The sequence below is a fragment of the Homo sapiens genome, chromosome 5 (genome assembly GCF_000001405.40).
Source record: "Homo sapiens chromosome 5, GRCh38.p14 Primary Assembly".
NCBI lineage: Eukaryota > Metazoa > Chordata > Mammalia > Primates > Hominidae > Homo > Homo sapiens.
Window position 1 is genome coordinate 71,071,180 of NC_000005.10, and position 23,199 is coordinate 71,094,378.

Genomic DNA, 23,199 nt, shown 5'->3' on the forward strand with positions numbered 1-23,199 from the left:
TCTTTACAGATATTTCACAGGAAGCATTTATGTTACAAGTACTTAAAATGCACTCGAAATTAATATAGGATACTTTATTTACATCAGAGTGATCTCACATTATCCAATCCATTAACAAAGTCAACACAGGATGGAAGTATAGAATCTAACAGTTGAAGAGACTAAGATCCTAATCCCTTGTTTTGCCACTTGCTAGTGTGACAACAGCCAGTTAATCTATCATATCATTAGTTCCTTGTCTATAAAAGAAGAATAAGAAATGGTCACATGTCAAAAGATCGTTGTGAGGATTAAATATCATATATGTACTTATGTGTATGTAACTTATTTACTATAAATACTAGTTGACTTCACTTTATTTCAAAAAATATAAAGCACATATGACAAAACATTAACACATGTTATTTCTGGGCGGATGGTACTTATATTTTATACTTTTCTGTATTTAAATTTTTCAAAATAAAATAATGATCCTATATACTTTTAATACAAAATCACATATGTAGGGCATCACTTTATACGCAGGGAATCTTTACAAAATGAACTATGTGCTATCACAACAAACTCCTTAGAACAATAGTTTATAACAAAGCAGAATTCCAGACAAGAACTACAGGTCAGAAATGGAAGGGATGTCGGAAATCTAATCTAAACCTCTGACTTTCTAGACTAGGAAGCTGCTTGAGTGGCTTTTCAAATTTACATCCAGCTAGTTAATGCCAACGCCAACAGAAACACCCTGATCCTAGTTTCCTAAAACGGTATTTAGTATAAATACACATGAAAATTTTTCTTATTTTTGAAATTTCAAAGTCCAATTTTATAACACAATTTTACAATGCAAATTCTTGCTGTTTCACTTTCTGGATTCAGCTGAATAGTTTTGTGAAAATACTGACAAACTTGCCTTCACGAACTGACTTCCAAGAACAAATTGTTAAAACTTTAACAGAAAAATCAGTTAAAGGTGCTCATCAAGAGAGTCCTTTTCATTTGGTATAAATCCAAAACTATGAAAATACCTTTTGTATTATGTGCATGCAGAAAATTAAGAATTTATTCAATTTGCAGAAATAAATCAGTGATATAATGGAAACATTTAAAATTTTATCTCTGGAAAATAATCCAAAATCATCTATCAAAAATTATAGGCCGGGCGCAGTGGCTCACGCCTCTAATCCCAGCACTTTGGGAGGCCGAGGTGGATGGATCACCTGAGGTCAGGAGTTCGAGACCAGCCTGACCAACGTGGAGAAACCCCATCTCTACTAAAAATACAAAAAAAAATTAGCCAGGTGTGGTGGCGCATGCCTGTAATCCCAGCTACTCGGGAGGCCGAGGCAGGAGAATTGTTTGAACCTGGGAGGCGGAGGTTGTGGTGAGCTGAGATCGCGACATTGCACTCCAGCCTGTTCAACAAGAGCAAAACTCCATCTCAAAAAAAAAAAAAAAAAAAAAAAATACACACACACACACACACACTTAGGCCAGGCATGGTGGCTCACGCCTGTAATCCCAGCACTTTGGGAGGCCGAGGCAGGCAGACCACAAGGTCAGGAGTTCAAGACCAACCTGGCCAATATGGTAAAACCCCGTCTCTATTAAAAATACAAAAATTAGCCAGGCATGGTGATGGGTACCTGTAGTCTCAACTACTCGAGAGGCTGAGGCAGGAGAATTGCTTGAACCCGGGAGGTGGAGGTTGCAGTGAGCCAAGATAGCGCCACTGCATTCCAGCCTGGGTGAGAGTGAGACTCTGTCTCAAAAAAAAAAAAAAATTATATACCTAAATATCTGAAATGCATACTAAAGTTCAGTTTATAGATTATTCTAAAAAAAAGTTTTTAGAAAAGTCTAAGCTGGGATGATCACAATCAACTTGGTCAGCACAGTGCTATCAAGTAATTTTACTAATAAGAATCTGAATTTTTAAAAAAGTGATACAATTTAAGGGCACCATTTGAAATTATTTGGTATTTCGTGGTATAGCATTCTATTCCCAGACATATCAGCATTCTTACAGCCAAAGGAATGGGAAACGACTAACCAGCACAGCATCCAAAGGAGTATAAACAACAACAGATACAACTCCTGAGTGTGGTTTTCCATTGCTGTGTGTTAACAGCACTAATAACATCAAACAGGTTATTATGGAAAGAAAACACCAGGTTTAATACCTTATAAAATATGTATAGAAATTGAACATTCCTGTAAGATACAGTTCAAGTCACAATTGAATTATAAATGTAATCAGATATTCTGATATAATGAAAAGTTCTAGTTGGTTTTTAAAAAAAGGCATGCAAAAAGATAAAAAGTATTTAAAAACACACAAAATTCTAACCACCGGGTTTAAACTTTGATCTTAAAAAAGTAAATATATATTTACAATCTTTAAATTTCACACATTTGTTACTTTTACATGATCTTTATTATTTAAGAAAAACCTCTTTTAACCATTTATATAACAGAAAAAAAATAGGGAGGCTGGTAGATCATCACATATATAGTAGCTAAAATATGAAAGGCCAGGGAATTTATTATTAATGAAGTCATAAAACAGACTTAACCAAAAGTGTGTGCTAGGAAACAAGCAGTTTCACTTCAGAGACTTCATTGCAGGAACCCAGTTTCCTTATGTGGAAAAAAGTGATTATAAATAACAGTTATCTGAAAGGTGGTTGAGAGGATTAAATGAGATCACCTATGCAAACAAATACATGTAGGTATGAAGACATCGTCTGGGGTGTGAAAGTTTAGTTCACACCAGAACCTTCCTTTAAGGCTTAAAAACCTCAAACAGTATTTCATTCTTAATACAAGAACCAATGTTTAAAGCATAAAATCCTTAATTGGAGTGTTCAGCCCAGTTGATTATCAAAAGCGATTTATAAAATGCTTCAATACTGATGATATTAAAGCAACCAAAACTGTGATGCTCACAGAGGTTTGGCTTCCGGGGTTATGGTCCAAAGTCATTTGCCTTCTGAGAAGATTGCAGAGATGTCAGATACTTAATTTCTCAAACAACTTGGCATCAGCCTTCTATGTTTTCTGTCTATCATAGTCTCCAACCATCTTCTTGATGTGTGACAATTTGCTGTTTAACTGCTTGCAATGATTCTTCTTACTTTTGTAATCTGCAGACTAAAAAGGGAGAAAATGAATCACATAAATTCAACAAAATGAAAACAGGTCTGCTGGGAAGGCAGAATTGAACACAGAAATGGAATATTTAGTCAAGAGAATTGCTGGGAGTGTTAATTGAAGTAAAATACGCAAGGTGCCTGGCAGTATCACTAACCACACAGGCAGCTGATTCTATTTGCTCAGTTCTGTCTTCTAACCTGGGTTTTTCCAAAGGATACCCTCATTTCTAAAAATCTGTAAAATGACCAAGAAAACTTACCAGCCTTTTTGCTAACACATCATCTAAAACTGTAAGTAAAACAAGAGACTGGTGATCTCATTTGACTGGGGAAAGGGAAGCTGAATAGGGGATAAGAGAGATGGGAAATTTTACTGTATACCCTTTAAACTCTTATTTCAAATCATGATGCCTGTAATTTATAATTTTTTTTTCTTATTTTAGAAAGGGTCTCATCCTATTGCCCAGGCTGGAGTGAAGTGGTACAATTATAGCTCCCTGCAGCTTTGAACTCCTGGGTTCAAGGGATCCTTTTGCCTCAGTCTCCCTAGTAGCTAGGACTACAGGCATGTAACCACAGCACCTGGATAAGTAATTTACAAAAATTTTAATATAATTTTTTTTTAATGTTTTAAGTCAATAATGACTGTCATGCCAAGTGTTAGCAAGGATATAGGGCAACAGGAGTCTGTAGTGGTTGGTGGGAATGTAAACTGGTACAAGTACTTTGGAAGGCCATTTGACAGTATCTACTAAGGCTGGATAGACAAATGCCCATCACTTCTACGCTCAAACATTTACAAATATGTATGAAGCTGCAATATTTTTAAATGCCAAAAATTGGGAACAACCCAAACGTTCATTGACAATAGAATGGATGAATAAAGTTGCATTTTATATACAACACTACAAAGCAATAAAAATTAATCAACCGGCCAGGCGTGGTGGCTCACGCCTGTAATCCCAGCACTTTCGGAGGCCGAGGCAGGTGGATCACTTGAGGCCAGGAATTTGAGACCTGCCTGGCCAACATGGTAAAACCCCATCTCTACTAAAAATAGGAAAATTAGCCAGGTGTGGTGGTGCTTGCCTGTAATCCCAGTGGCTCGGGAGGCTGAGGCAGGAGAATTGCTTGAACCCAGGAGGCAGAGGTTGCAGTGAGCCGAGATTGTGCCACTGCACTCCAGCCTGGGCGACAGAGCGAGACACTGTCTCAGGAAAAAAAAAAAAATTAATGAACCATGGCCGGGCATGGTGGCTCATGCATGTAATCCCAGCACTTTGTGAGGCCAAGGCAGGGGGATCACCTGAGGTTGGGAGTTCAAGACCAGCCTGGCCAATGTGGTGAAACCATGTCTTTACTAAAAATACAAAAATTAGCCAGGCATGGTGGTGCGTGCTTGCAATCCCAGCTAGGCTGAGGCAGGAGAATTGCTTGAACCTGGGAGGCGGAAGTTGCAGTGAGCTGAGACTGCGCCACTGCACTCCATCCTGGGCAACAGAGCAAGACTCCGTCTAAAAAAAATAATAGTAATGAACTACAAATGGACCCTTACAAACACTATACTGAGCAAAAGAAATCACACACAAAATACATACTGTGTGGTTCCATTTATGTAATGTGCAAGATAGACAAAACTCTATGATGTTAGAAGTGAGCATGATGGACCCCTCTGGAGAGAGTGTAAACACTGGAAAGTAGTACAAGTGAGGGTGGGGGTGCTGGGGGTGGGGAGGTACTGGGAAATATATTTCTTGATCTGCATACGCAGGTATGTGGTCACATTGTGAAAATTCACCATGTTATACACTTTGATTTATACACTTTTCTGTATGTATACTTCAACTTTTAAAAAATATATAAAATAAAAAATGAAAAACATGTAATAGAAAAGCTCTTCCTCCAGATGAGTAGGTATGGGAATTAAAATAAAAAGAAGAAGAAAGAAAGTTCTTCCTAAAAGAACAATCTCGGATACTTACTCCCTTCACTTGCTTCAGTCTATTGTATTCATCAGCAGCAGCCTATTAACGACAGACACAAAGGAATATGTTTACTGGGGCATTTTCTCTTTTAAAAGTAACATTCCTGATGTTATACTTTGGAGCTAAAAATGACAGCTTATGACAAAAATATAAGCAATTAAAAGAATGAAGTCGTAAAGCTCTTAAAACTCATGATCAGCAGGAAGGTCTGAAGGAATTCAGTGAAGAGACATTTATGATACTGTATCTTTCACATTTCACTCACATAGGCAGGTAACTATCTGTTCTGCTACTTCTCATCTCTCCTCATGCCAGTCCCCATGCTACACTGACACCAGGAAGATCTTTTATAACACAGAGCGCTCGCTGATCAGGTAATATCCCACTACACAACTGGTCTGAGCTTCCCATTAACTTCTCCCCTCATCCAGTTTCCTACCTTTCCAGTCTCAGTACCCATCATCAGCAACTCCTTTAAAAACTGAGACATGTTAAATGCTTCAGGATTTCAATCATGTTTTCCTTATGGCTGTAATCATGCACCTCCCCGCACCCTTCTGTCTGGAAAGCTCTTAACGATTCCCTCACTGTGAAGCCTCCAAAGACTTTATTTCTTCTATGAGCAGTTAGTTATAGTGCTTTCTACACATGATGCAAATACAGCATTAATCATACTGTCTAAATTGTTTAGATGTCAGGTTTTTTTTCTTAAAATATAAGCTCTTTTAGGGTGGGGACAAGATTTTATGTCTCTAGCTCCAGCATTTCCACATCATCAAAGAAAAATAAGTGATCAATAAATGTTCACTAAATTAAGAAAGATCTATAACACCCTATAGAAACCATAAAAGAAATACATAAATCTAACTATATAAAGATGTGAATACGTCAAAACTAAAAAGTAGATCACCTCAACTGAAAAATGGCAGAATATTTAATGAGATGTGCATCAAATGAGTCCTGTATTGTATCAAGAGGGAGACACAGTTGGTGCAGTCTCTCTGGAGGGCAATTTTGCAACTTTGCAAAGGTACGTACCCTCTGACTCTCAGCAATTTCACATTCTGGAATTAGTTTTAGTTAGATAAGCAGGCTGGGCGCTGTGGCTCACACACGTAATTCCAGCACTTTGGGAGGCCGAGGCAGGCAGATCACCTGAGGTCAGGAGTTCGAGGCTAGCCTGACCAACATGGCAAAACCCCGTCTCTACTAAAAATACAAAAATTAGTCAGGTGTGGTGCCACATGCCTGTAATCCCAGCTACTCGGGAGGCTGAGGCGGGAGAATCACTTGAACCTAGGAGGCGAAGGTTGCAGTGAGCCAAGATAGCGCCACTGCACTCCAGCCTGGGCGACAGAGCAAGACTCCGTCTCAAAAAAAAAAAAAAAAAAAAAAATTAGATAAGTAGACAAGAGTGCAAAAACAGAGAGGTTCACCAGTATATACTGGTACTACTGGAGTAGGGGGAGACATACTTAAATGTCTATCCATAGAAAATGACTCTTAAATTATGATACAACCATAAATTTGAAAGTTGTTTACCTAATTTTACACATAAAAAACTTAAAAGTAAGTAGGTCTTTATTATTGATATAAAAAAAAAAACTTGCTGTTAAGAAAAGACAGAAATAAGCAGTGCAAGGAAGTTTTTTTGTTTGTTTTTTTTTTTAAAGATAAAACCCCACAATAAGAGTATGTCAAAGGGACACGGGAAGCAACTGAAAGTTCCCAACGGTCAAAGCGAGAACAATTAGAGCTACAAAATAAAGCAGCCTTGGATTATAATTCACAGTATAAAACAGGTATCTGTAAAGTCCATACTTACGTAAGTGATTGACTGATCAATAAAGGAACAAATTAACAAGAAGAGATTAATCTCCCTCTAAAAGGTGGTGTAACTACATTAATTTCAGTATGTATACAAAATACAGTATGAAAAGGATGGATTGAAAAAAAAATCCAGTAACTTTACATGGACAAATTCTATCTCAGCCAGGTGATCAAGGGAGGGAAAAAAAAAACCCATAAACTGTTGATTTAAAAGACAGGAAGAAAATAAGTGAAACATGGAAGATGATGTTTCCTTAAAGAAAGGTGTATGTGCCTTGGTGACTCCTGCTTGGAGAGATTGTTTTAACTAATATTTTGGTGATAAGGATTTCTTGATGGTAGGATTTAAGATGATTTCTTTTTCTGTATACAGTTCTGTGTTAAGTTCTTTTTTTTTTTTTTTTTTTTTTTGAGATGGAGTCTCACTCTGTCACTCAGGCTGGAGTGCAGTGGCGCGATCTTGGCTCACTGCAAGCTCCGCCTCCTGGATTCACACCATTCTCCTGCCTCAGCCTCCCAAGTAGCTGGGACTACAAGTACCCGCCACCATACCTGGCTAATTTTTTGTATTTTTTTTTTTTTTTTAGTAGAGACGGGGTTTCACTGTGTTAGCCAGGATGGTCTCGATCTCCTGACCTCATGATCCACCCACCTCGGCCTCCCAAAGTGCTGGGATTACAGGCATTAGCCACCGTGCCCGGCCGCTTAAGTTCTTTTCTACAGAAAGAATGAATGGCTTTATAAATAGGAAAGATAATAAGGCTATTTTATTATTATTATTATTAATTTTTGAGATGGAGTCTCACTCTGTCGCCCAGGCTGGAGTGCAATGGCGCAATCTTGGCTCACTGCAACCTCCCCCATCCCGGGTTCAAGCAATTCTCCTGTCTCAGCCTCCCCGAGTAGCTGGGATTACAGGTGTCTGCCACCATGCCCTGCTATTTTTTGTATTTTTAGTAGAGATGGGGTTTCACCATGTTAGGCACGCTATTCTCTAACTCCTGACCTCAGGTGATCCACTTGCCTTGGCCTCTCAAAGTGTGGGGATTATAGCCATGAGCCACCATGCCCAGCCTGGCTATTTTATTTTAAATAGGAAAGGATAGATGTACATAGAATAGTGCTTTGTAGGGGCTGGGCGCGGTGGCTCACGCCTGTAATCCCAGCACTTTGGGAGGCTAAGACGGGCAGATCACGAGGTCAGGAGATCGAGACCATCCTGGCTAACATGGTGAAACCCCGTCTCTACTAAAAAAAAAAAAAATACAAAAAATTAGCCGGGCGTGGTGGCGGACACCTGTAATCCCAGCTACTTGGGAGGCTGAGTCAGGAGAATGGCGTGAACCCGGGAGGCAGAGCTTGCAGTTAGCTGAGATCACGCCACTGCACTCCAGCCTGGGCAACAGAACGAGACTCCACCTCAAAAAAAAAAAAAAAAACAGAATAGTGCTTTGTAATTATTAACTATTATACATTAGTACAATCTTCTATTAGGAAAGAATTTCATCCAAAACCCAATCTCAACTATTCTTCAATGAAACTGCAGTTTGATAACTACTAGCACATTTTTATCAACATTAATATAAAGGATGCTGTACCTCCACAGATTAGATTCAAATTCTGTTTAATATATAAATATCAGGTTGAATTTACCATGTACTCTTCACTTTCTTCTCTATAGTCATCCAATTCTTTATCCAAACGGGAGAGTTCTTTATTGATCTCATCAAGTTCTGATTGTAAGCTCTTGTATTCCTGTAGGCCAGTGTCAAAATTCCTCTTGTACAGTTGTCTTTGTTGATCTGAAGTGATAGGTGGATATTCCCTAAAAGGTGAGAGAGAAAATGACTACATATGTATCCTTAGCAGACATAAAATTCAATGCTCCTTCCTCAAAGATAATAAAGCTGGTTGGGTATGGAGAATGACATTTTCTTGTTTCGTTTTTGTTTCTTACGGGGAAAGAGAGAGAGAATACAAATAAGTTCTATTAAGAGTGACTATATATTACTGCTCATTTTTTAAAAAATAAAAACTATGCCTACGTAATTTGCAGAAATAATTTTGAAAATCATTTACAAAATTGAAGGTACAAGTCATAGGAACTCACTTATTTCCCATACACAATATCAATAATGGACTACTTATGTTTATAAAGTTTTTCTTTTCTTTTTTTTTTTTTTTGAGACAAAGCCTGCTCTGTCACCCAGGATGGAGTGCAGTGGCACAATCTCGGCTCACTGCAACCTCCACCTCCCGGGTTCAAGCGATTTTCGTGCCTCAGTCTCCACAGTAGCTGGGATTACAGGTGCCTGCCACCACGCCCGGCTAATTTTTGTATTTTAGTAGAGACAGGGTTTCACCATGTTGGCCAGGCTAGTCTCAAACTCCTGACCTCAGGTGATCCACCTGCCTCAGCCTCCCAAAGTGCTGGGATTACAGGAGTGAGCCACCATGCCTGGCCTGTTTAAAGTCTTAAAACTGGAATTCTGGAACACAAAGTCCGCTTTGATCACCACAGTGGCAGCACAGCTGACTGGAAGTGGCTGTTTCCTGCTACCACCCATAGTTTTCAGACTGGTTTATTTATTTTTTGCTCTTGTTTTTCCGAAGTGGAAATAGCTTATCTACTTCTTTCACAATAAAAATAGACATTAAAAATGTACATGTATAAAAACATGTGCTCACTGTTAAAATAATCTGGCAATTCATTAAAGTATAAAGAAGAAAAACTGAAATTTTGTATCACACCTATTTCTCAATATACCAGCCACTCCTTACATAGGAAGACGATGCCATTAACCCATAATCCATAGAGAAAATACTCTGAATCCTTTCACAGGACTGGAGTTTCACAATGATGTGGAATTTCAAATTTTAGATCTAACAATCTAACATCTTCATTTTACAGAGGGGAGAAATTTAAATGATTTGATCAAAAGGGAAACAAGAATTTCAGATTTTGAAAATTTTCAGGCTGGGCATGGTAGCTCACCCCTGTAATCCCAGCACTTTGGGAGGCCGAGGTGGGTGGATCACCTGAGGTCAGGAGTTTGAGACCAGCCCAGCCAACATGGTGAAACCCTGTCTCTATTAAAACTACAAAAATTAGCCGGGTGTGGTGGCGCATGCCTGTAATCCCAGCTCTTCGGGAGGCTGAGGCAGGAGGATTGCTTGAACCTGGGAGGCGGAGGTTGCAGTGAGCCAAGATCGTGCCACTGCACTCCAGCCTGGGCAACAGCGTGAGACTCTATCTCAAAAAAATATATAAAGTTTTCAGTTAAATCTTCCGTGATACAAGTTAGGTGAATATTTTACAGATAGATGGCTAAGCCAGGCCAAAAACTCTTGAGGGGAGAGGGGAAGATAAAGTATCAGAATCATCAGTGAATAGGGGATCTCAAGCTACCCATGCCCCGCCTATCATTCCTCACTCTCTGAGAAGCGATGTTTTGATTACCATTCACATTGCAAATGTTTCTGATGTGCGTCTTAGTCCTCAGAATACTTGGGCATAGGAAGGCTACACATCATACACAAATACATTTGGTGATGGTGGATGGATTGTAACAAAACCACCAAAACACAAAGAAACTTAACCACAACTGTGGCTGAACACTAAATTGTTACCTCAATTGTTTACGGAACTCTTTGGATTAAACTTTAAAAGAAACTCTCGTCTTATCATTTTAAGCTTAATTTAAAAAATAATTGCCGGCCAGGCGCGGTGGCTCACTCCTGTAATCCCAGCACTTTGGGAGGCCGAGGCAGGGAGATCATCTGAGGTCAGGATTTTCAAGATCAGCCTGGCCAACATGGTGAAACCCGTCTCTACTAAAAATACAATAATTAGCCGGGCATGGTGGTGGGCGCCTGTAATCCCAGCTACTTGGTAGGCTGAGGCAGGAATTGCTTGAACCCGGAAGGCAGAGGTTGCACCGAGCCGAGATCGTGCCATTGCACTCCAGCCTGGGCGACAGAGCAAGACTCCGTCTCAAAAAAAAAAAGTAATGCCAAAGGAAAACCATAGCACTGGTTTGGGAATTTTATAATTAGTAAAACAAAGTTCTTCTATACCTGGATTTTATTTATTTGAAAGGCCTTTGGTTGTTTTTTGAGATAGGGTCTAGCTCTATCACCCAGCCTGGGGTGCAATGATGCAATTATAGCTCACTGCAGCCTTGAACTCCTGGGCTTAAGCAATCCTCCTGCCTCAGCCTCAGCCTCCCGAGTAGCTGGAACTACAGGCCCACACCACTATGCCTGGCTGGTCTTGAACTCTTAGCCTTAGCCTCCCAAAGTGCTAGGACATCTTTCTTCCGTGACTATTGGTATAAGAAAGAGCACTGGTGAAGTTCACCAGCCACACTGTGGAAAGTTCAAAGTGGTTACTGCCAAAGTTCAAAGACATGGTTACTGCCAAACATTCTCTCCACTTCAAACTTTGTCACAAAAGGGTGCTAAGGAAAAAACCAGCCAACACCACACAAAAAACTGTCTCCAGTCCTGGTTGGCAAAGAATGAAATTACACCAGTGACCTCAATTTGGGAGGCAATAACTCCAACACCTGGTTGGTCTCCTTTAATTATCAGAAGGAGCACGTGGGCCAGGAAAGGAGAGCTGAGTCGGTACCTGATCCAGTCCTCCTCCAGCTCATCACAGGACTCGCCACCAGTTGTGTAGTCTGTCTCATAGTGATCTTGCTCTGTTCTCTTTGACCTTCCTGCTCTTCCCTTTGCAGGTGCTCTTTTTGAAGGTGTCTCAAAGTTACCACCGCTGCTGTAACGAGGCTGCCTGAAGTCATCCACAGGCGAAGTTAATGGAAGCTCCTGAACCACTTCAGGAACCCTAATAAAAACAGGCATCATTGTTCAGTACACTACAGCCCTTTGCCAGTGCACTGTAATCACAGAGCACAGCCATAATAAACACCAGCAGACATCTGCACGCAGGTGCACTCACGCGAGGACTTCAGATGTTCAACACTGAGCAGATGCCTCGTTTTCTGCATTCAATTTGACAGCAGTTCAGAGTCCTCTAATACACACAAGTAGTAGGTTCCAATTTAAAGGGGAGTAGCCATTTTTATACCTTCTAAGTACAATGGATCTCAGATTTCATTTTAAAAAGTTCAGGCTGATCTATAAGAGGTGTTTACTTGACCTGTGCCAGGGACTTACTCTACAAAGGCTGTCAGGAAAACAGTGATCATTCTTTTCTACAGGCTCTTCTAGTTCCCTGGAATGCTGCATGGGGAAGAATGCACACATGCTCTTTGTAATATTGATCTTATACTACCATATATCAATTATCATATTAAGATAAAATCTTGCAAAATAAACTAAATATCTAAACTAAAAAAGTAAAAAGCTTTACATTGCAATAAATTAAAGAGTTCCTTTAGGATTCTTTTTAAAATTGCTGTTAATCCTGAAGCCACGTAGAATGAATAGAAGGGTTACCATTACACACTTACTATTTTCTTCTAATACAATTATTTAAAGTTGCATCACAATTGCATGTTTCGGACACAAACATGAAAATAACCCTAACTGAGGAATAAAATACCAAAGTTGAAAGTGGGAACTACTTCTGAGTAAAAGAAATACGAAGTTTCATTTTCTTGTAGAAAAGGGCAAGAACAGAAATGAAAACACCAAAGAATGGGCCTAAGACTTTCCAAGCATCAGCCTTGCCATTCCAATCAACTATTTAAAATGTCTGAAGCGTTTCTTTTTGCTGCCAATTTACATAAACTATCATACTGAGCTCTTCCAGGTTTAGTCCCTTTTCTAGGTGATCCACATGTGCTTTGCTGTAACTGTTGTCAGAGTCTTAGATTTCTAAGCACACAATTTCTTGCAGACTCTAAACTTTGGGGTATGTGTGTGTAGATGCAGGTGGGGGTAGTATTTATTTCTTCTTTCAAGATTTATGGCCGGAGGCGGTGGCTCACACCTGTAATCTCAGCACTTTGGGAGGCCGAGGTGGGCGAATCACTTGAGGCCAGGAGTTCAAGATCGGCCTGGCCAACATGGTGAAACCCCATCTCTACAAAAAATACAAAAATTAGTGCACTGTGGCAGGCATCTGTAATCCCAGCTACTCGGGAGGCTGAGGCAGAAGAATTGCTTGAACCCAGGAGGCAGAGAATGCAGTGAGCTGAGATCGCACCACTGCACTCCACCCTGGGTAACAGAATGAGATTCTGTCTAAAAAAAAAAAAAATTATTCAGGTAATATGGCTTTGTGTGCTATGCTAATGTTACTTCTAATGGAGAGAAAATGTGACTTTCTCCATGAGTCAATGATTAACAAGTTCCTAGACACTCTGCCAAAACTGCCAGGTACTATGCCTCTTCTTTGAGGTAGAAAAACAAAACCTTTAGAATGCAGTGGATTCATTTTAGGGGTGGGGCCAAAGAGGGAGGGAACTAAAGGGCAAAAGAAATTAGAAAAAAACATAAAAACAAAAAGTAAAACATCAAAGTAGGCCTCCTGCCAGAATTTTTATGATATTAGATATTGATATATCTTTAACTTCGAAGTTTTCCTCCCCTCCTCCTACACCCCTTTAAAATATTAACATACTTGATCTAGCATGAAAGCTAAAAGCAAAATGTTTCACAAGAAAAGTATTGACTACAGGTGTGAGCAACACCACACTGGGCTAATTTTTAATTTTTTTGTAGAGACAGGGTCTCACTCTGTTGCCCAGGCTGAGCCTTCCACATTTCCCAAGCTGCGTTGATCTTTCCAGCCCAGCATGAAGTTTTCTTTCCCAAAGCTTACATAGCAAAAAGATTCTGATTGGCCCTTTTTGGGTCACTGTCATCCTTGAAGCCAGGAGAATGTTCTCTGATTAGCAAGACTTAGATATGCCTCCCAATAATGGTAGCAGCTCTAAAATACAGTGTGTACAACAAACGTCATTCTAATAGTCATGGCATTGTTGATCATGGGTTGTTTCTCTGCCTTCACTGATGCTGTGTGTAATCAGAAAAGAAGGATTCTTATGCATGTGTTTTCAATTCAGTAATTGTCCTGAACACCTGACATGCATAGAGTACTGAGCCAGGTGACCCTGGGAAGACCAGGTCCATGTTCTCACGGAGGCTGCAAAACAGGGGTGGAGGAAAGTGCACAACAATTCTGCTGAGAGTCAGGGCAAGGTAGGAGCAATAAAGGCAGCGTGAAGGAGTGTGAGAGAGAATAAAACAAATGACTGAAGAATAAAAAGAACAAGCCGGCCAGGTGCGGTAGCTCACACTTGTATAATCCCAGCACTTTGGGAGGCTGAGGCAGGGGGATCACTTGAGGTTAGGAGTTTGAGACCGATCTGGCCAACATGTTGAAACCCCTGTCTCTACTAAAAATACAAAAATTAGCTGAGCATGGTGGTGCAAGCCTGTGATCCCAGCTACTCAGGAGGCTGAGGTGGGAGGATCGCTTGAACCTGGGAGGTAGAGGTTGCAATGAGCCAAGATTGCACCAACACATTCCAGCCTGGATGACAGAGCAAGACTCCATTTCAAAAAAACCAAAAACAACAAAAAAAACCCAGGCATGGTTGCATGCACCTGTAGTACTAGCTACTCAGGAGGCTGAGGCAGAAGGATCACTTGAGTGCAGGAATTTGAGGATTCAGTGAGCTATGATCACACCACTGGACTCCAGCCTGTGTGAAACAGTGAGACCCTATCTCTAAAAAGTAAAAATAAATAAATAAATAAATGTAGATGGCTATCCTGTCACAACAGAAGCTGAACTGAGAAGAAAGCCAACATACCGACAGATGAAAGAGAGCACATAACAGCCCTGCTATCTTCTGAATCCTTCGATTATGCCATGACTGAAGCTACAGACGTCCTTGGGCCTCACGTGACTCAGATAATTCCTCCTTTCACTTAAGCTATTTTTTTTCATGATTTTTTTTTTTTTAATTGAGACAGGGTCTCCCTATGTTGCCCAGGCAGGTCTCAAACTCCTGGCCTCAAGCAATCTTCCCACCTCATTGGCCTCCCAAAGTGCTGGGATTATCAGCCTGAACCACCATGCCCCATCTTAAACTAGTTTAAACTGGGCTTCTATAACTCCTCTAACTTGCATAAAAGTCCTAACATCATCCTACCAGCCTATTACTACCAAACAATGGTCTCATTTAGCAATGCAAGGAGTCAGCCTTCTTTGAAAGCTTTGCATTGCAGCAACATTCAACTTCCTTGATTTATGAAGGGTAATTCAACCTGGGTGTGGACAGGATAGTGGAGAGTGTACCTAATAGGGCTCTCCCAAGTTCGTTTAGTAGGTTTGGAGAGGCAACCATCTTCAGCTAAATTCTGGTGTCCCCTGATGCAGGATTAATTCTCAGAGCTGACTGCCTTAAAATTCTAAGGTATGGGACATTATAAGCAAAAGGAACCAGATATGAGAGTAAACTGCATTATTCCATTTTATTTAAAGTCCAATAATAACACGTTCACTAACAGATGGTGACAGACATCAAAATAGCTGTTACCTTGGGGTGGGTGTGGGTGGGTATTGATGGAGAAAGGGCACATGGGGACCTTATGTAGGGCTCAAAATGTATCTTGGTGGTGGGAGTTAAGTGGTCATAGATGGGAAAACTCATCAAGCTGTATACTCAAGATTAGTGCTCTTTTTATGGAATGTACATTACGCGTTGGGAGAAAAAAACATCTTAATACTGATTTACCTCATCCTTGGCACGGATGGGTGGATGGACACAATGTTCTCCATCTAATTCCTTCTCTATCCACTAGCATGGTGAGGAAGAGAGGTGCTCATGGGTTACTAAGCACTTGCAAGAATGCCTTAGGAAAGACAGGCTATGACTTATGTGTTCTTATTCCCATTCAAGTGGGTGTCCTCTGAATCCTCTATAGCACTCAGTACTCTACTATGAACAACACTTTACAATTTCTATTGCCCCCCAGAGGCTGTAAAATCCTTCCATCATTACCATGCTCTGGGGGAGATATTGTGCATTAGTATCTCTTAGTACCACTCCCATTCACCCATTCATCTGGGTTCTAAAATGAAGCATCGTGTTTGCACTTTCCAGACCTTCAAAAAAAATTCTGGGGCATAAGTTTGGAGTAGAAACTAGTACAATCCTTAAGAAATAAAACTTTTACTACATCTATCAAAATGAAAAAATGCACATTTATTTTAGCTCAGCAATTCTGCCTCCAGATACATTCACATATGTATAAAGTGATAAATGTATAAGGTTATTCCTTATACATTTGTGGTCTGTAATAACAAAACATTGGGGGAAAGTGTGCATCATATAGGATTAATACATTAAGTATACCAGCCAGGTGCGGTGGCTCATGCCTGTAATCCCAACACTTTGGGAGGCTAAAGCAGGCAGATCAGTTGAGGTCAGGAGTTCAAGACCAGCCTGGCCAACATGACAAAACCCCATCTCTACTAAAAATTAGCCAGGCGTGGTGGTGGGTGCCTGTAATCCCAGCTACTCAGGAGGCTAAGGCAGGCTACTCGGGAGGCACTTGAACCTGGGAGGCAGAGGTTGCAGTGAGCCGAGATCGCGCCACTGTACTCCAGCCTGGGCAACGGAGCGAGACTCTGCCTCAAAAAATAATAATAATAAAATAAATAAAGTATACCTATTTGGTAGAATATTATACAGCTATAAAACACAATAGTGCTTCTTCTTGATTATAATTAAAAAAATAAAACAGAATCAGGCAACTCATTGCATAGTGATATGGACAATATCCAAGATAAAATATATTGCTAATGATACATTTGGTATGCTAATATTTTCTTTTTCTTTTTTTTGAAACAGGGTCTCACTCTGTCACCCAGACTGAAGTGGAGTGGCACGGTCTTGGCTCACTGCAGGCTTGACCTCCTGGGCTCAATCAATCCTCCCACCTCAGCCTCCCAAGTAGCTAGGACTAGAGGCATGTGCCACCATACCTGGCAAATCTTTATATTTTTTGTAGAGAGGGGGTTTAGCAATAATGCCCAGGGTGTTCTCGAACTCCTAGGCTCAAGCAATCCACCCACCTCAGCCTCCCGAAGTGCTGGAATTACAGGCATGAGCCACTGTGCCCAGCTCTGGTATGCTAGTATTTTAAGGGGGGGTGGGGGAATCAATGTACTTTGGCCAGTATCTTTATGTTTTAAAATCTGTGGAGAAATAGAAAGTGATGACATTAGTTGCCTCTGGGGAGAGGAACTAGCTAGCTGGTACCTTTTGTCCCTTTTAAATTTTCCACTACATAAAGTATTCAAGAATAAGAAAGATTAATACTTAAGGAATAAGACTTTCAAATTAATTTCAAATGAATTTGTGAAACTATCCTGGTTTTTGTGAAAAGGGACAACACCAGGGAATGCTGTGTAACCACGCAGGCCTTACAATTTAGAGGAACAGCTGGTGCCAAGATGCAGTATAGATATACATTTTGTATGTATGAAAGTTCTGCAAATTGGTCCTTTTATAGTTGATGAGCATGATGATTGGGTGTTCACACGCATGTGTGAAATGTCCCACCCTCAAATCTTGTTACAATATTGGCACATTACCCATCTGACATGAAAAAGGAGAAAAAAAAAGTTCTGCAAATCATAGCTTAAAAATTTTAGAGGCTGAGGCAGGAGGATCACTTAAGGCCAGGAGTTCAAGACTATCCTGGGCAACAAAGCAAGACCCCTTCTCTACAAAAATAAAAATAAAAAATTAGCCAGCCATAGTGGCACATACCTGTGGTCCTGGCTAAAGTGAGCTATGAAGCAAGAGGACTGCTTGAGCCCAGGAGTTCAAGGTCACAGTGAGCTATGATCACACCACTGCACTATAGGTCTGGGCGACAGAGTGAAACAGCATCTCAAACAAATGATGAAAAAAAAAAACTTAGAAGGATTGCATCTCTCTTGCGTACCCTTGTCCCTAACACTCTCAAGTGCTTTAGTTTTTGTCAAAATCCAAAGAGAAGAACAGAGAAAATGTGCTTTCTCCAAATCATTCACAATTGAAATCAACAGCAAGATCAAGTCTGAATACCAAAACAACTATGCACTCAGAGTAAATCTCATATATCATGGCCCACTAATCAGGAGTCGGGCATTGGGGATAAAACTTCAAAGCAGGCCAGGCGCGGTGGCTCACGCCTGTAATGCCCGCACTTTGGGAGGCCAAGACAGGTAGATCACCTGAGGTCAGGAGTTCGAGACCAACCTGGCCAACATCATGAAACCCCGTCTCTACTAAAAATACAAAAATTAGCCAGGCATGGTGGCGCGCACCTGTAATCCCAGCTACTAGGAGGAGGCTGAGGCAGGAGAATCACTTGAACCCAGGAGACGGAGGTTGCAGTGAACTGAGATCACACTACTGCACTCCAGCCTGGGTAACGGAGTGAGACTCCGTCTCAAAAACAAAACAAACAAAAAAACACTTCGAAGTAACAAAAAAGTTATTTCCAGTAGATACACCTTTAACATAGACATTCAAACTAGCTGAAAGGAAATTTTTTGGGCTTTTTCAGTCTCCAAAGGAACTTAGAGTTCTAGAATTACAGTCACAAAGTCATAAAGACATTTCAGTCAATAAGGGACTAATAAAAGTATACAGCAAATGCAATTATGTACAGTATATAATACTTGACAATAAACGACTATGCTACTGGTTTATGTATTTACACTATATTTTTTATTAGATTCCTTCAACTTATTAAAAAAAAAAAGAGTTGAAACAGGAAAAAAAGTTAAAAGAGCCTCAGGCAGGTGCTTCAGGAGGTATTCCAGAAGAAGGCACTGTCACCATGGAAGATGACAGCTCTGGGTGTGTTATTGGCCCTGATGACCTTCCAGTGCAACGAGATGTGGAAATGGAAGACAGTGATATTGATGTAGGCCTAGGCAAATGTGTATGTTTGTATCTTAGTTTTGGGTTTGTGTGTGTGTGTGTGTGTGTTTATTTTTATTTTTTTTGAGATAGGGTCTCTGTTGCCCAGGCTGGAGGGCAGTGGTGCAATCGCAGCTCACTGCAGCCTCCCAAAGTGGTGGGATTACAGGCATAAGCCACTGCACCCAGTCTGTATCTTAGTTTTTAACAATAAAGTGTAGAAACTAAAATAAAATTTACATGGTAAAAATAGAAAACAGCACTTTGGGAGGCCAAAGTGGGAGGATCACTTGAGGTCAGGAGTCTAAGAACAGCCTGGTGGCAGGGCATGGTGGCTCATGCCTGTAATCCCAGTACTTTGTGAAGCCGAGGCAGGCAGATCGCTTGAGCCCAGGAGTTTGAGACCAGCCTGGACAACATAGCAAGACCCTGTCTCTACAAAAAAAAATAGAAAAAAATAGCTGGGCATGGTGGAGCACATGTGTAGTCCCAGCTACTGAGGTGACTAAGTAGTCTCAGCTACTTAGGTGACTAAAGTGGGAAGATCGCTTGAGCCTGGGAGGTCAAGGCTACAGTGAGCTGTGACCACACCACTGCACCCCAGGCTGGGTGACAGATTGAGACCATGTCTCTACCAAAAAAAAAAAAAAAAAAAAAAAAGCTTATAGAATAAGGAAAATACTTCTCTATATCTATACAATGTAGGTATGGGATTTTTGGCTTTTCTTTTATTTTTGGCTGGATTTGAGCTCCCGGGCTCAAGTATGATCCCTCCCACCTCAGCCTCCCAATTAGCTGGGACTGCTGGTGTGCACCACTGTGCCAGGGTTTGTGATTGTGTTTTTTGTTGTTGTTCTTTTGTTTGTTTGTTTTTGAGACGGAGTCTCACTTTGTCGCCCAGGCTAGAGTGCAGTGGCGCGATCTCGGCTCACTGGGAGCTCCACCTCCCGGGTTCACGCCATTCTCCTGCCTCAGCCTCCCGAGTAGCTGGGACTACAGGCACCCGCCACCATGCCCGGCTAGTTTTTCGTACTTTTAGTAGACACGGGGTTTCACCCTGTTAGCCAGGATGGTCTCAATTTCCTGACCTCGTGATCCACCTGCCTCAGCCTCCCAAAGTGCTGGGATTACAGGGGTGAGCCACCGCGTCCGGCCTTTTGTTTTTTTTTTTTGAGACAGAGTTTCACTTTGTCACGCAGGCTGGAGTGCACTGGTGTGATCTCAGCTCACTGTAACCGCCGCCTCCCAGGTTCAAGTGATTCTCCTGCCTCAGCTTTCCGAGTAGCTGAGATTACAGGTGTGAGCCACCATGCCTGGCTAATTTTTGTATTTTTAGTAGAGACAGGGTTTTGCCATTTTGGCCAGGCTGGTCTCGAACTCCTGACCTCAGGTGATCCGTCCACCTGGGCCTCCCAAAGTGTGGGGATTACAGGCGTGAGCCACTGCACCCAGCCATGTGATTGTGTTTTAAGTGTTATTACAAAAGAGTCAAAAAAATTAAAGTTATAGAAAGCTAAGATTTATTATAGAAGAAAGAAAAATGTTTAGTAAATTTAGTGTAGCCTAAGTATAGTGTTTATAAAGTGTACAGTAATGTCCTAGGCCTTCACATTCACTCACCACTTACTCCCTGACTCACCCAGAGCAACTTCCAGTCCTACAAGCTTCATTCATGGTAAGTGCCTTACAAGATGTACCATTTATTTATTTATTTAGATGGAGCTTCGCTCTTGTTGCCCAGGCTGGAGTGCAATGGCACAATCTCCACTTACAACAACCTCCGCCTCCCGGGTTAAACTGACTCTCCTGCCTCAGCCTTCCCACGTAGCTGGGATTACAGGCATGCGCCACCACGCCTGGCTATTTTTAGTAGAGATGGGGTTTCTCCATGTTGGTCAGGCTGGTCTTGAACTCCTGACCTCAGGTGATCCACCTGCCTCGGCCTCCCAAAGTGCTGGGATTATAGGCGTGAGCCACCGCCCCGGCCAAGATGTACCATTTTTTATCTTTTATATTTACTGTACCTTTTTTGTGTTTAGATATACAAATACCACTGTATTACCGCTGCCTAGAGTATTTGGTATATTAACATGCTGTCTGCATTTGTAGCGTAAAAGCAAGAAGCTATACCACATAGCCTAGGCTCGTAGCAGGCTATCCATCTAGGTTTGTGTTAAGTACACTGTGATGTTCACTCAAGGATGAAATTGCCTAAAGACACACTTCTCAGTATTCCCATCGTTAAACAATGCATGACTATATATGTAAAAATAACGACTTCATCATCCTTAGGCAAAAATTACATCCCCGTCCATACCAATTATCTCCAATAGTCTTCTCTCACTAGTCATTAGGTGGAATTAGAATTGAGCTTTAGGGTAAGTGTTTCCACCACAGAGATACCATTTCAATTATCATATGACACCTACCCTAGGCCAGACGTTCACTGAGGTTTCACATCTCCCAGCAATACTGAGGACCTAGCACAGCAAATGAAATACCACAATTCCTGGATTCAAATGAAGTCTTCTAGTTTAACAGAAATGTATGTGGGCAGGGTTGATTAATGTGAAATGTCCTCCCTTCTGTTTATGAGATCCAACAATTATAGGCAAAAGGAGAGGCTGAGCACAGCACTGACCTCTGCTCAGTAACTTCCTCTCACCCTCACCTAAACTTCAAAACCAGAAATAGCAGAACCACATTCCTAGAGTGAAAGAACCCAACCCAACCTTTCAATCAAACAAGTAAGTGAAAAGAAGCATTTTCAACTTAGAAGGGAAATAGAACCCCACCCTCCTCATCCTGGTCTTCCAAGTAGCCGTAGGCCTCTGTACCAACAAAGCAAAGATTGTTGTAATACCAAGATCCAGATCCAGCTTTTGTGTGCACTGCTGGATATTTTTTTTAAGCAGAAAGGCACAAAAACAACAAAAACCAATTATATGCAAATACTCATTTTTACACTCAGTCTATCAAACTAAGAGAGATGCTACTTACGGCGTGGATTTATAGGAAGACTCTGGATAAAACCGCTTGTCATTCACTTTGCCATTGGAAGAGTATGCCATGGGACTGTCAACTCTTTCCACATAGTCAGATGGGGGTGAAGGCACGTCCTGTGTGCCTGCAGACACATTTTTAACCTTAAAAAACCCCAAGAGATAGTTATTATTTATCTTGTAATGAAAAGGGGGAAGACACTGAAGAAAATTATCTTATATACATTATCTAATATTTATGTGGCCCATTAAATACTATTAACACTAATAATAAAAAGGCAATCATTACAGGTTAATAGTTAAATCCACATTGTAATAGACATATAAACAGTGCTACTGCTAGTTTAAACAAGTATATTACCAAGAAGAAAAATCTGATCACCTAGTTCTCATCCTAATGTGATTAGGTTTCATAATTATCTATGGCAATTTTCCACCTCCATATTAGGAAGACTGGTCTCATTATCTCACGCCCACATTAGAAAGACCACTCTCATTTAACCTAAGCCAGGTCTCGGTTAGGAGAATTTTCATTTCTAACAAGCTCTCAGGTAATGCTATGTTGCTGTCTGTGCACCACACTTGGAAAAGCACTAATCTAGAACAAAGCACACTGGTAGTTCTTAATCCATTCACCTCTCAACGTGGAATGTTAAAACCACAGAAGAAATTAAGAAGTTCAAGCTGACTTCTACTCTTTTAATAAGAGATTTGTTTATTCTCCCTTAATGTACGTTCTCTATGGCTCTATTACTAATAACCTACACAATATATCACACAACATCAGTGCCTTCCCTTTTCACTTTCCTTATTTCATTCTGATGTGTAAGTGAATTCATCCTACAAAAGTAACATGCATTAGAAATTATGCCTTAATAGGCCAGGCGCGGTGGCTCACGCCTGTAATCCCAGCACTTGGGGAGGCTGAGGCGGGTGGATCATGAGGTCTGTAAACAATTTACAGAAGACTAAAGGGATGGTGAAAATTAACTTTGTTAGCAATTTTAATGAGAATCCAAATATAGGAGACCCACATTTTTTCCCATATTTTCCCAGTTTTGAATGTTTATGTATACCTAAAAGGCATTACATCCTTTGAAAGCAGCTGTCATTATGCATGAATCTGGAACATACCTACCTTTAAATACGGATTTTGGATTTCAAATGCATCTCTACTATGTTCTACCTTATTATTTGTATTCTTCATGAACTCACTTTGTCAAAATGCAATACTTTTTGTTTTTTAATTTATTTTTATTTTTTGTAGAAATAGGGTCTCACTGTGTTGCCCAGGCTGGCCTTGAACACCTGGCCTCAAGTGATCTTCCTG

General features: G+C 40.7%; 1 non-coding gene and 1 pseudogene across 2 annotated transcripts, besides 1 other annotated feature; one reads left to right on the forward strand and one right to left on the reverse strand.

Moving 5' to 3' along the window:
• Window positions 1–3,023: 3,023 nt before the first annotated feature.
• On the reverse strand, window positions 3,024–21,891 carry OCLNP1 (OCLN pseudogene 1; annotated as a pseudogene). The gene is made up of 5 exons (NR_026578.1): window positions 21,868–21,891; window positions 11,598–11,813; window positions 8,618–8,789; window positions 5,132–5,173; window positions 3,024–3,147 (listed from the first exon to the last, which is right to left on the reverse strand). The product of NR_026578.1 is annotated as an OCLN pseudogene 1 (transcript).
• Window positions 13,831–14,332: an enhancer, noted in NCBI's record as "H3K4me1 hESC enhancer chr5:70380837-70381338 (GRCh37/hg19 assembly coordinates)". NCBI's record gives its function as "activates a minimal SCP1, AML or CMV promoter by ChIP-STARR-seq in naive H9 embryonic stem cells {active_cell/tissue: H9 hESC(naive)}" and the evidence as "EXISTENCE:reporter gene assay evidence [ECO:0000049][PMID:30033119]".
• SNORD13B-2 (small nucleolar RNA, C/D box 13B-2) lies at window positions 17,453–17,556 on the forward strand. Its single transcript, NR_145756.1, has one exon. It is a non-coding gene; the product is annotated as a small nucleolar RNA, C/D box 13B-2 (small nucleolar RNA).
• Window positions 21,892–23,199: the final 1,308 nt, after the last annotated feature.